The sequence below is a fragment of the Homo sapiens genome, chromosome 13 (genome assembly GCF_000001405.40).
Source record: "Homo sapiens chromosome 13, GRCh38.p14 Primary Assembly".
NCBI lineage: Eukaryota > Metazoa > Chordata > Mammalia > Primates > Hominidae > Homo > Homo sapiens.
The window spans coordinates 51,407,075-51,420,138 of record NC_000013.11 but is presented as its reverse complement, the minus strand read 5'-3'; the positions used below and the strand labels follow the sequence as shown (position 1 = coordinate 51,420,138).

Here is a 13,064-nt window from a genome sequence, read left to right as displayed (position 1 = left end):
TGAATAACATGGATCATGATTTATACTAGGGGTCAGCAAACATTTTCTTTGAAGGGCCAGATAGTGAACATTTTAGGTTTTTCAGCCTGTATAGTGTGTACTGGAACTATTCCACTGTTGGAGGGCAAAAGCAGCCATAGACAGTATGTTAAATGAGTGAGAGTGGCCGTGTTCAATAAAATTTTATTTACAAAAAATAGGCTCTGGGCTGGATTTGGTTGGTGGGCTATAGTTTGCTGATCGCTGGTGTATACCCTGTTTTGTAGACTACTGTTCTAGACCTTGGAGTTGTATTGTACTACTTCTGTTAGATCCTTTTCACATTAGTTTTAGAGAGTGGACTTTATGGAATTGATTTTTCCTTTATGAAGTGGGTAGAACACCACTAGTAGAGAGTATTCAGTTAAAGTGAACAGATGCTTATTGAACAGTAGTGAAGTTCAGATGCAGGGTTAGGTACTGGCTCATGAGTTTGATATGAGAGGTACAGTTATGGCATAGTGTAAGATGTAAAATTATTAAAGCACAAGCTAATAAGATGGTACAGTTGAGAAAGTGAGGCCGGAGCTGGCTCTAGGAAATGTCTTGAGTTGGATTTTGAAAGGTTAATTCAAGTTTGTGAAGTAGATGTATGCAAAGACATAAAGGTCACTGAAGAGAGTTTGGGAGAACTGTATGTACCTCAGTATTGATAGCTGGCAAAGTGTTCAAGAAAAACAGCAGCAGGAAATGAGACTAGATAGATTGGCATGGCACGTCCTATATTCTCTGCCAAGGAGTTTCGACTTTGTCTTACAGATTGATGAAAACCTTATAGATTGAACCTTACAGATGGGAACCTTATGGATTGAAGAGATTTTAGTAGAGGAGAAAGTTATTAGATTTGCATTTTAGAAAGAAGTAGCGTGGACTATACAAAGAGCAGGTTTTTTTGGCACCTCATCTGTTTTCACTTCCTCATAAAAGAGGACATGATTGTAGGTTGAACTATACCAGACATAAAATTAAGAAACTTGGAGTGCTATTTAGCAATAAAAAGGAATGAATTGTGACATGCTACAACATGGATGAACTTGAAAAACATTACCCTAGATGCAAAGGACCTCATATAGCATTATTCCATTTATATGGAATGTCCATAAAGTTGATTAGTGCTTGCCTGGAAGTGTTTGGGAGACTGACTGCAAATGGGCACAGGGATCTTTTTAAGATGTTGGAAATGTTCTAAAACTGCATGGTGGTGATGGTTGTACAACTCTGTAAATTTACTAAAACTCGTTGAACACATAAAATGGATGAATTTCTCAATAAAGTTGTTAAAAAATTAGAAAGACTTTACCTTTGCAATTTGTTGGGGTAAAACTTTGTTGAAGAAAGTATTTCAGTATTGCAGGTTGTCAAGTGATTGCTCTTTCCTCTGAACAAATATTGACCTTAAACTACTAGAAGCTAAAAAAAAGTTTTGATTTTTTAATCAAAAATTCCTTTTGGATGTACATTGGATATTCCTAAGGATACACATTTTTAACTGTGGAGTGTAACAATAGGAACTAACAATAAATAATTGGGTTGGCATTAAGTTTTATGGGATTCACTTTGACTTTAATAATTTTTTTTGAGACAGGATCTTGCTTTGTTGCCTAGAATTTCTTAATTTTCCTTTCCTTAATAAATATGATATGAGGAGAACCTTCTTCATTGCTTATATTGGATAATAGTATTAAAGTTAGAAATAGCCTAAGGGAAATTTACTTGATTTTTTTTTTTCAAGGAAATATACTAAAGAAAAAGCTGATATAGGATGCTTTTAAATTTATAAATTGTTTCCTCATAATCTTAACAGTTATAGGAAATGAATAAAGAGAATGCAAAACAATTGGAAAATGGTTAATTTCATTCAATAAATATGTATTTAGGGCTTACCATGTGCCTAGGCACTGTTCTTAGAAACAGATTGTGAAGGACTGTTACTGTATTACTTTCTTTTATTCCTGGCTACTAAAATAATGTATGAGGTTGAGCTTAATTATTTTAAAAAATGTGTAAACTTAAGTGTTTAACTTTTATTGTTTACAAGGTAATTTCACATCTCCTGTAATTCTCAATTCTGTGACGGTGAGGAAAATGTCTTAGTAAGGCTGATTTCTACCTAAGAGGCAGAGCTAGGACTTGACTGTTTGTTTTATTTTTTCAGGTCCATTGCTCTTTACACTCTAGTGTGGGATTAAAAGAAAAAAACAAGCAACAGTATTGTACTGCATAAGGACAGTCATATAGGTCAGTGAGATAGAATTGAGAGTCTAGCAGCAAAACACATACATTTATAGTCAGTCGATTTTTGACAAGAGTTAAGACAGTTTAATGAGAAAAGAATAATTTTCTGGCCGGGTGCAGTAGCTCACGCCTGTAATCCTAGCACTTTGGGAGGCCAAGGCAGGTGGATTGCCTGAGCTCAGGAGTTCGAGACCAGCCTGGCCAACCCGGTGAAACCCCATCTCTATTAAAAAATACAAAAAATTAGCCGGGTGTGGTGGCATGCGCTTGTAATCCCAGCTACTCGGGAGGCTGAGACAGGAGAATGGCTTGAACCTGGGCGGTGGAGGTTGCAGGGAGCTGAGATCGCGCCATTGCACTCCAGCCTGGGTGACAGAGCAAGACTCCGTCTCAAAAAAAAAAAAAAAAAAAAGAATTTTCTTAGCAAATGGTTTTGGGCCAACTGAATATGCATGCACATGCAAGAGAATGAAATTGAACCTCTACCTTATATGCAAAAGTTAGATCAAAATGGATCAAAGACCCAAATATAAGAGCTAAAACTTAGAAGAAAACATAGGCTTAATCTTCCTGACCTAGGATTAGGCAAGTTTTAGTTAGACATGACACCAGAAGCACAAAGAACAACTAGACAAATTGGACTTCAGAATTAAAAACTTTTGTTTCAAAGGATACTGTCAAGAAAGTGAAAAGATAGTAACAGAATGAGAGAAAATATTTGCAAATCATTTATCTGTGAAGGGCATGATATCCAGAATATATAAAGAACTGTAACAACATAAAAATAAAAAGACAATCTAATTTAAAAATGGTCAAAGGATTTGATTAGACATTTCTCCAGAGAAGATACATAAATGGCTAGTAAGTACATGAAAAGATGCTCACCATCATTAGTCATGAGGGAAATGCAGATTATAACCATAATGAGATAGCAGTTTACACCTACTATGACATATAATAAAAAAGATGGACAGTTACAAATGTTGGTGAGAATGTAGAGAAACTGTAACCTTCATACTTTGCTAGTGAGGATGTAAAATGATGCAGCTGCTTTGGGAAATAGTTTGGTGGTTCTTCAAAAAGTTAAACATAGAGTTACCTTATGCTAACTCCAATAATTCTATTCTGGGGTATATACCTAAAGAAATGAAAACATGTCTACACAAAAACCTGTAAGTGAACATCATATTAATGTCATTCATAATAGCCAAAAGGTGGAAACAACACAAATGTCTATTACCTGATGAATGGATAAACAAAATATGATACATCCATACAATGGAATATTATTCAGCCTTAAAAAGGAATACAATTCTCTCACATAGTGCAACATGGATGAACCTTGAAAACTAAGTGAAAGCCAGACACAAAAGGCTACTTGATGCAAATTTCCATTTATATGAAGTGTCTAGAATAGGCAAATCCATAGAAACAGAAATAAGTGGTTGCCAGAGGCTTGGGATAAGGGTAGGATGCTAATGTATATAGAAGGGTTTCATTTTCAGGTGATCAAAATGTTCTGAAAGTAGACAGTGGTGATGATTGTACAACTCTGACTTCCTGGTTCAGCCACTTTAAATAGATGAATGAAACAAATAGAAGAACTTGTATCTTTACTCTCATACACCCACACTATTTTCCTCTCTGGTGCCTATCTTCTCTATTTCCTTTTGCAACAAATTTAGAGATCATTTCTGTTATCTCCTTGACTTCTCTACCTCCTTTTAAATCTATTACAGTCTGACTTTTGATTCTACCTTTGTTAATAAGATCACTAATAATGTCCTTATCTTCCAAATCCAAATTTGCTTTTTAGTTTTTCTTTCATGATGTTTTGCCAGCACTATTGAACACTGTTTTTTAAAGCTTCTCTTGACTTCTGTGTTTACACTTTCCTGGCTCTGCTTTGGCTTTTTGTTTTGTTTTAATTTCCATCCTTGACCTTAGTGTATTTGCCTGTCCCTGAGTGTTACTGGTTTAGTTTTAGATTTTCTTACACGTTTACTGACATACTCTTGGACAATTTCATTCCCGTGGCTTTATCCGTGTTCATCTGCACAGAAGTGTGTGTATTTGGCCTAAAAGGCTTGGTGACTCAACTTACTCTCAAATAGTTTGTCAAATATTAATAATTATATATTACTCTACTACTCCATTTTCATGCTGCTGGTAAAGACATACCCGAGACTGGGCAATTAATAAAAGAAAGAGGTTTAATGGACTTAAAGTTCTACATGGCTGGGGAGGCCTCACAATCCTGGTGGAAGGCAAGGAGGAGCAAGTCATGTCTTACATGGGTGGCAGCAGGCAAAGAGAGAGAGCTTGTGCAGGGAAACTTCCTGTTTTTAAAACCATCAGATCTTGTGAGACTTATTCCCTATCATGAGAACAGCATGGCAGAGACCCATCCCCATGATTTAATTACCTCCCATGGGGGTTTCTCCCACAAAATGTGGGAATTGTGGGAGTTACAATTCAAGATGAAATTTGGATGGGGACACAGCCAAACCATATCAATCACCATTATTATTATTGTTATTATATAAAAGAGAAAGAAGTAAATGTGACAAAATGTAAACTGTCTATGAATCTAGATGAATGGGACCCTGGAGCTCATAGTACAATCACTGCAACTTTTCTGTGAGATTGAAATTTTTCAAATAGAGAGATTTTTAAAGAATTTTTTTTTTAAGTGAACGGTTCTGTGCCATTTAGTACATCCTTTCCTTTAAAAAAAAAAACTCTCATACTTGTCAGGGTATTAAGTTGCTATAACAGAATGCAGTAGTTCTTTAATTGTGAGTTTCTTATATATTCTAGGATAGGCAGATCTGTTTAGTATACCTTTTTCCACTGCATCATTTCAGTTTGGATATTCTTGACTTTCGAATTGTTCTTGGAAATAATTAGAAAGAAGTAGGGATTGGGATTGTTGGACGGTGAAATCATAGGGAGAGAAAGGAAGTTGAGGAATTCAATCTTGAGTCTTAGAACTGTGTGTGTGTGTGTGTGTGTGTGTGTGTGTGTGTGTATAGAAGAACTACATACATACATATATAGAAGGAAGAAACGGAAATGAATCTATAAAGGCCTGATAGTACTTACATATTTTCTTGTTATTGTCTGTTATGTTATGAATAGGACCTGCGGCTGTATTATATTTGAGAAATAGGATTTAAGAAATACCCACTCAGTTTCACCAAAAATGTTAAAATTTTATTTGCTTTAAAAAAAGCTTTTATTAAGCTTCTTTTCCATCTACATTATCCAAGCAAATCTGAATAATTGGGACTAGAGTTGGACTAGATGTTGGAGGGACCAACTTTCTATTTATTAAATCACGGAAAGATTTAGCATTAGTTTGATTAGAATGGGTGCTTTCCTGCCCTTAACACACATACAGTGCCTCTTTGAATGCATATTTTCTGCAACAAAGAAAAACAAATTAACAAACAACTAGTTGAACCTTCAAGGATTCTGAAAAGCTTCTGGCAAGGTATATTTTTTAGGATATTGGTTCAGCTTCTCTATTGGGACAAAAATAGCTGGTTTAAAAATACAGAAGGCTTTTCCTTTCACATCAAAGATAGAACTGGTAGTAGTCAGGGAAGTGGAGTGGTTCTGCTCTAAGCTATTGTCTAGGGTTCCAGGTTTCTTCTACTTTGTTCCTCTATCTTTGCTTTTATCTGAATGGTTGATGCTGGTTTCACAGCACATCATACAACTGGATTTCAGCCTGTGGGAAGGAGTAAAGGCACACAGCTTCCTAATATAAGCATGACCTAAAACATAAATGACGTTGCAATGAGACTCCATCAACTAGAATTTGGCCACACTTAGCTGTAAGGCAGAGTGGAAACTAATCCCTGCTTGGGTGGCTGTGAGTCCAGTTAAAATTTGGGGGGTTTAATTAGTAGAAGGAAGGAGAGACTAGATGTGGACGGGCAGTTATCAGAAATTAAAGGGGTGATAAAGTAAGCTTGAAAGCTTCTTTGCTTTCTAGTGTGACAGCTTGTTCTGAGCTTATCTTGTACATTTTTGCTTCAGACCTGAAATCAGGTCAGGTTCCATGTATTAGGACGTGGTATATGGAAACCATAGCATGGGTTTTAGAAAAGGGTGCATTGCCATTGAGTTAATCATCATTTTCAGGCTTTTTCAGTACAGAGCTAGGAAATATTTTTTTCTGAAAGAGAAAATAGGTCATGAATCCATACTACTATTTGCATTTCACTTTTAAGGTAGATATTTAAAATGTTAAAGAATGTGTTTCTGTCATAAAAACCAAAGTTTGATTCCTGGTTCTGCAACTTATTAGAGGTATAATTTTTTTGCTCATTTTGAGTTTCAGTTTTCTCATCTTTACAATGGGGATAATAACTACATCTCATGGTTGTCATATGATTAAATGAGATAAGTGCTCAGAAATTTTTACTGATTTTATTATTCTCTATCACAATACAAAAAGGAGAGACCCCTAATTCTTCTTACAGGGGTTAGAGAAGACTTAGAGACACTTGTGCCATCAGGGAAGATTGAATTTTAAATGGGATATGGAGGTTTAGTGAGAAGAAATACCCAGGTAAGGGACCCAGCAGAGGCTGTGATCTGCATTTGTCAAGGCTGGTGCATAGGATTCTATTTTGACCCTTTAAAAAAAAAACTTTTTTCTTATAGTATTTATCATAGTGTGTAATTAAGTAGTAGTTTGTGTGCTTATTTGCTTACTGTCTGACTGCCTTTCTGTCCCACAGTGACAAGGAAGGACTATCCTGTCTTTCTTTTTGATTACCATTATACCTTCAGTACCTGCCACATAATAGTCACACAGTTGCTGTTCAGACCCTGAATAAAATTTTGAAGCATTTATAAATATCACGAAATTTCGCATTTGATTATATACATAAATAATTCTGCACTTATTTCAGTGTTACCTACTGAGGGTTGCCTACTAGTTGATCTAGTTTCTTCCAAGTCAATAACTTTAATTACTCTGGAGAATTTTGCACACTTGATAGCATTAGTTCTTTATCAATTTTTATTGAAAGTAAATGAATGAATTTGCTGGTGTTCCAGTCTGTTTGGATCAGATTCTGAGCCACAATGTGGATATACTGGTATGTTGTGAAATGTGTGCCAAGTAATTTATTGTTAACAAGAGTTTAAAGTACTTCAGGTATCCCTTATAATGAAACCACTCTGGTTTTTCCATTTTATTATGTTGCCTTAAGAGGGAGAGAGCTGCACATACAGGTTATTCTCCCAAGAATTACCTGTAGTACTCCCATGGGAGAGAGAGAGCTCACGTGTGCGCTTGTGAGCCTCAGCACCTCTGTGCTGCATCTTTTGTGTCCGCATGGAAAGATTCAGAATGAGAATTCTCACCTGGATCTTTAGGGAAGTATTCTGAGAAAGGAGGCAGCATGGTACAATATAAGACACTAGATCCTAAGTCAAATGGCATTTGCATTCTAGAACCTTTTCTTGTTTGGCTACTAAATACATGACACTCACATTTTGCATATGCTTATTTTTGTTGTTGTTATTGTCCCCTTTGTTGAGGTATAATTTATATATAATGAAACAGCAATTTCAAGTGTAAAACTTCATGAATTCTGACAAATGTTAAGTAATGTATTTAATACTACAACAATAGTATAAAATATATGTTACTCCAAAGAAATTTTCTCATTTCCCTTTGTAGTTCCTATCACCCTCCCTTGACAACTGACCTGCTTTCTGTCACTATTGTTTTGTCTTCTCTAGAATTTGGAATTATACAGTGGACACAAAAAATTATACACTGTATATAATATGTGGCTGGCTTCTTTAGCATAATGCTCTTGAGATTCATTCTTGCTGCATATGTCAGTAGATTGTTTCTTTTTATTGCTGAGCCATATTCCATTGTATGGCTATACTACAGTTTGCTTATCCATTCACCAGAGGGAACATTTGGGTTTTTTGACCATTATGAATAAGCTACTGTGAACATTGGTATACAAGTCTTTTTGTAGACCTATGTTTTATTTCTTTTGGGTGTATACCTACGAGCATAATTGGTGGGTCATATGATAAGTATATATCTAGCTTTATAAGAAACTGCAAAATTGTTTACCAAAGTGTTTGTACTATTTTGTATTCCAACCAGGAATGTATGAGAGTCCTAGTTACTCTACGTCTTTCCAACACTTGAATTTTTTCAGTTTTTAAAGTTTTATTATCTCTTTTTGGTTTTAGTTTGCATTTCCCAAGTAACTAAATATATTGAAAATCTTTTCATGTGTTTCTTTTCTTTTCTTTTTTTTTTTTGAGATGGAGTCTCACTCTGCCACCCAGACTGGAGTGCAACGGCACGATCTCAGCTCACTGCAACCTCTGCCTCCTAGGTTCAAATGATTCTCCTGCCTCAGCCTCCCGGGTAGCTGGGGTTACAGGTGCCCGCCACCATGCCCAGCTAATTTGTGTATTTTTAGTAGAGACGGGTTTCACCATGTTGGCCAGGCTGGTCTCGAACTCCTGACCTCAGGTCATCCACCCTCCTCAGTTTCCCAAAGTGCTGTGATTACAGGCGTGAGCCACTGCACCTGGCCCATGTGCTTGCTTGCTTATTTATTTATTTATTTATTTATTTATTTATTTATTTATTTTTGAGACAAAGTCTCACTCTGTCACCCGGGCTGGAGTGCAGTGGCGCGATCTCGGCTCACTACAACCTCTGCCTCCCGGGTTCAAGCAATTCTCGTGCCTCAGCCTCCCGAGTAGCTAGGATTACGGGCACCCGCCACCACACCCAGCTAATTTTTTTTATTTTTAGTAGAGACGGGGTTTCACTATGTTGGCCAATCTGGTCTCAAACTCCTGACCTCAGGTGATCCACCTGCCTCTGCCTCCCAAAGTGCTGGGATAACAGGTGTGAGTCATGGTGCCCAGCTCCATGTGCTTATTTTCTATCTGTATCTCTTTGGTCAAGTGAGCATCCTGACCTCTTGGCTGTTTTTTATTGGATAGTCTGTCTTCTTGCTAATGAGTTATAAGAATTTTTTACATATTCTGGATAGGATACAAGTTCTTTATTAGATATATGTTTTTCAAATACTTTCTCCCAGTCTTTAGCTGCCTTTTTATATTTTAGAGTGTCTTTTGAAGAGTAAAGTTTTATATTTATTTTTTCTTTTTAGTTTGTGTTTTCTGTGTCTTATTTAAGAGATCTTTTCCTAGTCTGAGATACTAAGGATTTTCTCCTGTATTTTCTCCAAGGAGCTTTATAGTTTGTGCCCTTACTTTGAGAGAAATAATTCATTTAGAATTTCTGTGTATGATGGGAGGAAAGTGTTGAGGTTTATTTTTGACATATGGATAATTAATTGTATCAGCATTTTTATTGGAGAGATTATCATTTCCTCATTGCTGAAGCATCTTTATTGAGTCAATTAGCCATGTTTTTGTGTGGCTGTTTCTGGACTTTCTATTCTGTTTTGTTGATAACCTGTGTCTTCGGCAATACAACATGGTGTCAACTACTGTGGTTTTATAACGAGTTTTGAAATCATTTAGTTAAGTCTCCAACTTTGTTTTTATCCAAATTGCTTTGTTTATTCTAGGTCCTTTGAGTTTACATGTAAATTTAGAATCAGGTTTATTAGTTTTTATAAGAAAGCTTACTGCAATTTTTATTGGAATTACATTGAATCTATAAATCAGTTTGAGGGAAAAATGACACTTTTTACCTTATTGGCTATTCTGATCCATGAGCATGGCATATTTTTCAGATTTAAGTGTTTGATTTTTTCAGCAATATTTGTAGTTTTCAGATGGGAGTTTATACATATGTTGGGTATTTTATATATTTTGATGTTATTATTGATTGGTCTTTTTACTTTCAACTTCTGATGATTTGTTGTTAGTACATAAACAGTTGATTTTTTTGCATCTTTACCTGGTATCCTGTGACCTTTCTAAATTTTCTTGTTACCTAGTAGCTTTTCTAGATTCCTTGAAGCTTTTTACGTACAAAATCATCTTGTCTGAATATAGACAGGTACACTTCTTCCTTTCCAAATCTGTCTGCCTTTTATTTCTTTTTCTTGCTTCAATGTACTGGTGGAAGTAGTGAGAATGGACATTGTTGTCTTGTCTTGAAATCTAGAAGCTTAACATTAATTTGTTAACATTAACATTTAATTTTAAGGAACACCAATTGTTCCTTAAAATTAAAAAAAATACTACCTATGATGAATTAGCATTGTAACAAAAAAAATACAAATAATAAATTACCTAACCTATATCAGACAGCACAAATAAAGGCAGTTGACATTGCCAAATTTCTGAGAAAACAAATAAAACTATCAAAGCTATGAGATGGTATCATAACTGTTTCACTGACTATGAAAAACTGTTACTGAGGAATCTAATATCTGTCCAAAGCCAACATTTAAAAGATAAGTGTTATATTGGCTGGTAGTTTGTAATTGAAATAAGAATATAAATATTCTCCTAGAAAGTACGAATGAAATACTCAGAGTCTTTAGTATACCTTGAAGTTATACTATTATTATTATTATTATTATTATTATTATTATTATTATTATTATTATTATTTGAGACGGATTCTCACTCTGTCACCCAGGCTGGAGTGCAGTGGTGCAATCTCGGCTCACTACAACCTCTGCCTCCACTGTGCCCAGCTGAAATTACATTTTTCAAACTCATGGTGCTAAAAAGGTCAAGATCATTAAGCACACGTTATAAAATATGACCCTGATGCTCTGCTTAACTTCTAATGGCCAAAAGGAATTTAATTAGTAGACTTAGTCTGGGGAAGGCGTAGACTCAAACTCTGTGATACTCAAATGCTATGGAGCTATGATATGGAAGAAGAAAGGGATATGCAGCTGCCTAGATAATTTTATGCTATAGTTGGAAAAATTTTTATGCACATTTAATGTTAAATTTGGGGAAGCAAAGAAATATATTAAAGTGATGATACACCTTAGAATTTAAGTTATAGGTTTTAGGTTTGTTGGAGGATTAAATAAGATGATTAAAGCAAGGTAACTCATTGAAACCTTGTCACATTATAAGCATTCAGTAAATGATGAATTATCAGTCTCTTAACTTGTGTGATTATGGGCAATATTTGGTGTGGTCAAAAGGTCTTTAAGTTTTTTTCCTACTTCTTTGAGTTATCAAGAAAGAGATTATTATTTTTTAATACAACCTAGTTTCACAAATAGGGACATACATAACATACTACAGAAGGTTTCTGTTGATGTTTTTGTGCTTGAGGCATTAAGTGCTCTCAGTTACCTGGAAAAATAATGGCTCTCCAAAATGATTCAAAGCTTTTCCTTTATAATTTTTAAGATTCCTGGCCAATGTGCTTTAAATGAACTTTCTGACTTATTAATAAAACTCAATGACCGGGTGCAGTGGCTCTTGCCTGTAATCCCAGCACTTTGGGACACCAAGGAGGGTGGATCACCTGAGGTCAGGAGTTCAAGACCAGCCTGGCTAACATAGTGAAACCCCGTCTCTACTAAAAATACAAAAAGTTAGCTGGGCATGGTGGCAGGCGCCTGTAATCCCAGCTACTCGGGAGGCTGAGGAAGGAGAATCACTTGAACCTGGGAGGCAGAGGTTGCAGTGAGTCGAGATTGCACCACTGCACTCCAGCCTGGGCAACAAGAGCGAAACTCCATTTCAAAAAAAAAAAAAACCCATCTCAATGGTTTATTCTAGTCTAAATGTTTTATGGTAGATTCTGAATAATTTGGGCTATTATTTAACAATTATCTATAGTTATACTTTAGCATTGAAAATGTTATTGTACTTTTTTTTTTTTTTTTGAGACCGAGTCTCACTCTGTTGCCCAGGCTGGAGTGCAGTGGCACGATCTTGGCTCACTGCAACCTCTGCCTCTTGGGTTCAAGCGATTCTCCAGCCTCAGCCTCCCGAGTAGCTGGGATTACAGGCGTGTGCCACCATGTCTGGCTAATTTTTGTATTTTTAGTACAGACGAGCTTTTGCTGTGTTGGCCAGACTGGTCTCAAACTCCTGGCCTCAAGTCCCAAATTGCTGGGATTTAGGCATGAACCACTATGCCTGGCCATACCGTACAGAAACACTCTTATGGTGTATGTATGCGTCTATTTGGAACTTAGTTTTGTAGTCTTTTTTTAAAATCATACTTTATTATAGTACCTTGTTATCATTTTGAATATGTTAAATCAACACTATAATAGTTAAGGTAGACAGAACATTAGGACATACCGTATTCTATATTTTTTCCTCTGTATTTGGTATCAGTCCCTGGATTTTTGCTTTTATGAGTCTGTTTCTTTCATTCCTATTATTTTTGTTATCAATCATCCTAGTGCTTTTTTAAATGATTGTGTTAGCTTTCTAGCTTGTCTTGGCTGCTTTCAGTCTGTCCTGCAGGTTGCAAAATTATTTTAAAGCATACCACTTGAGTGTATTACTCTACTGTTCACAATGTTTCATTGCTTTCCATTGTCTACTAGGTTGCTCAGTGCCCTTCACAACTTAGCCAGTCACATTATTTATTCATCCATCCATGTATTCATTCAGCCATATTTATTAGGTTCTATGAACCAGACAGGATGGAGGAATATGTGCTATGAGAGCTTATAATGAATTAGATCTGGTCAAGGAGGTCATTGGAGAGCCAAGATCTGAAGAGAGTAGGATTTGTTACTCAAAAAATAGAAAAGAGGATTGTACCAGACAGAGGGACTAGCATGTACAAAGGCTTTTTTTTTTTTCCTCTG

General features: G+C 35.9%; 1 protein-coding gene across 9 annotated transcripts in view; it reads left to right on the top strand.

Moving 5' to 3' along the window:
- Nucleotides 1-13,064, top strand: part of INTS6 (integrator complex subunit 6) — a 118,632-nt gene that overhangs the window by 32,898 nt on the left and 72,670 nt on the right. The gene's annotated exons all lie outside the window — the stretch shown is intronic.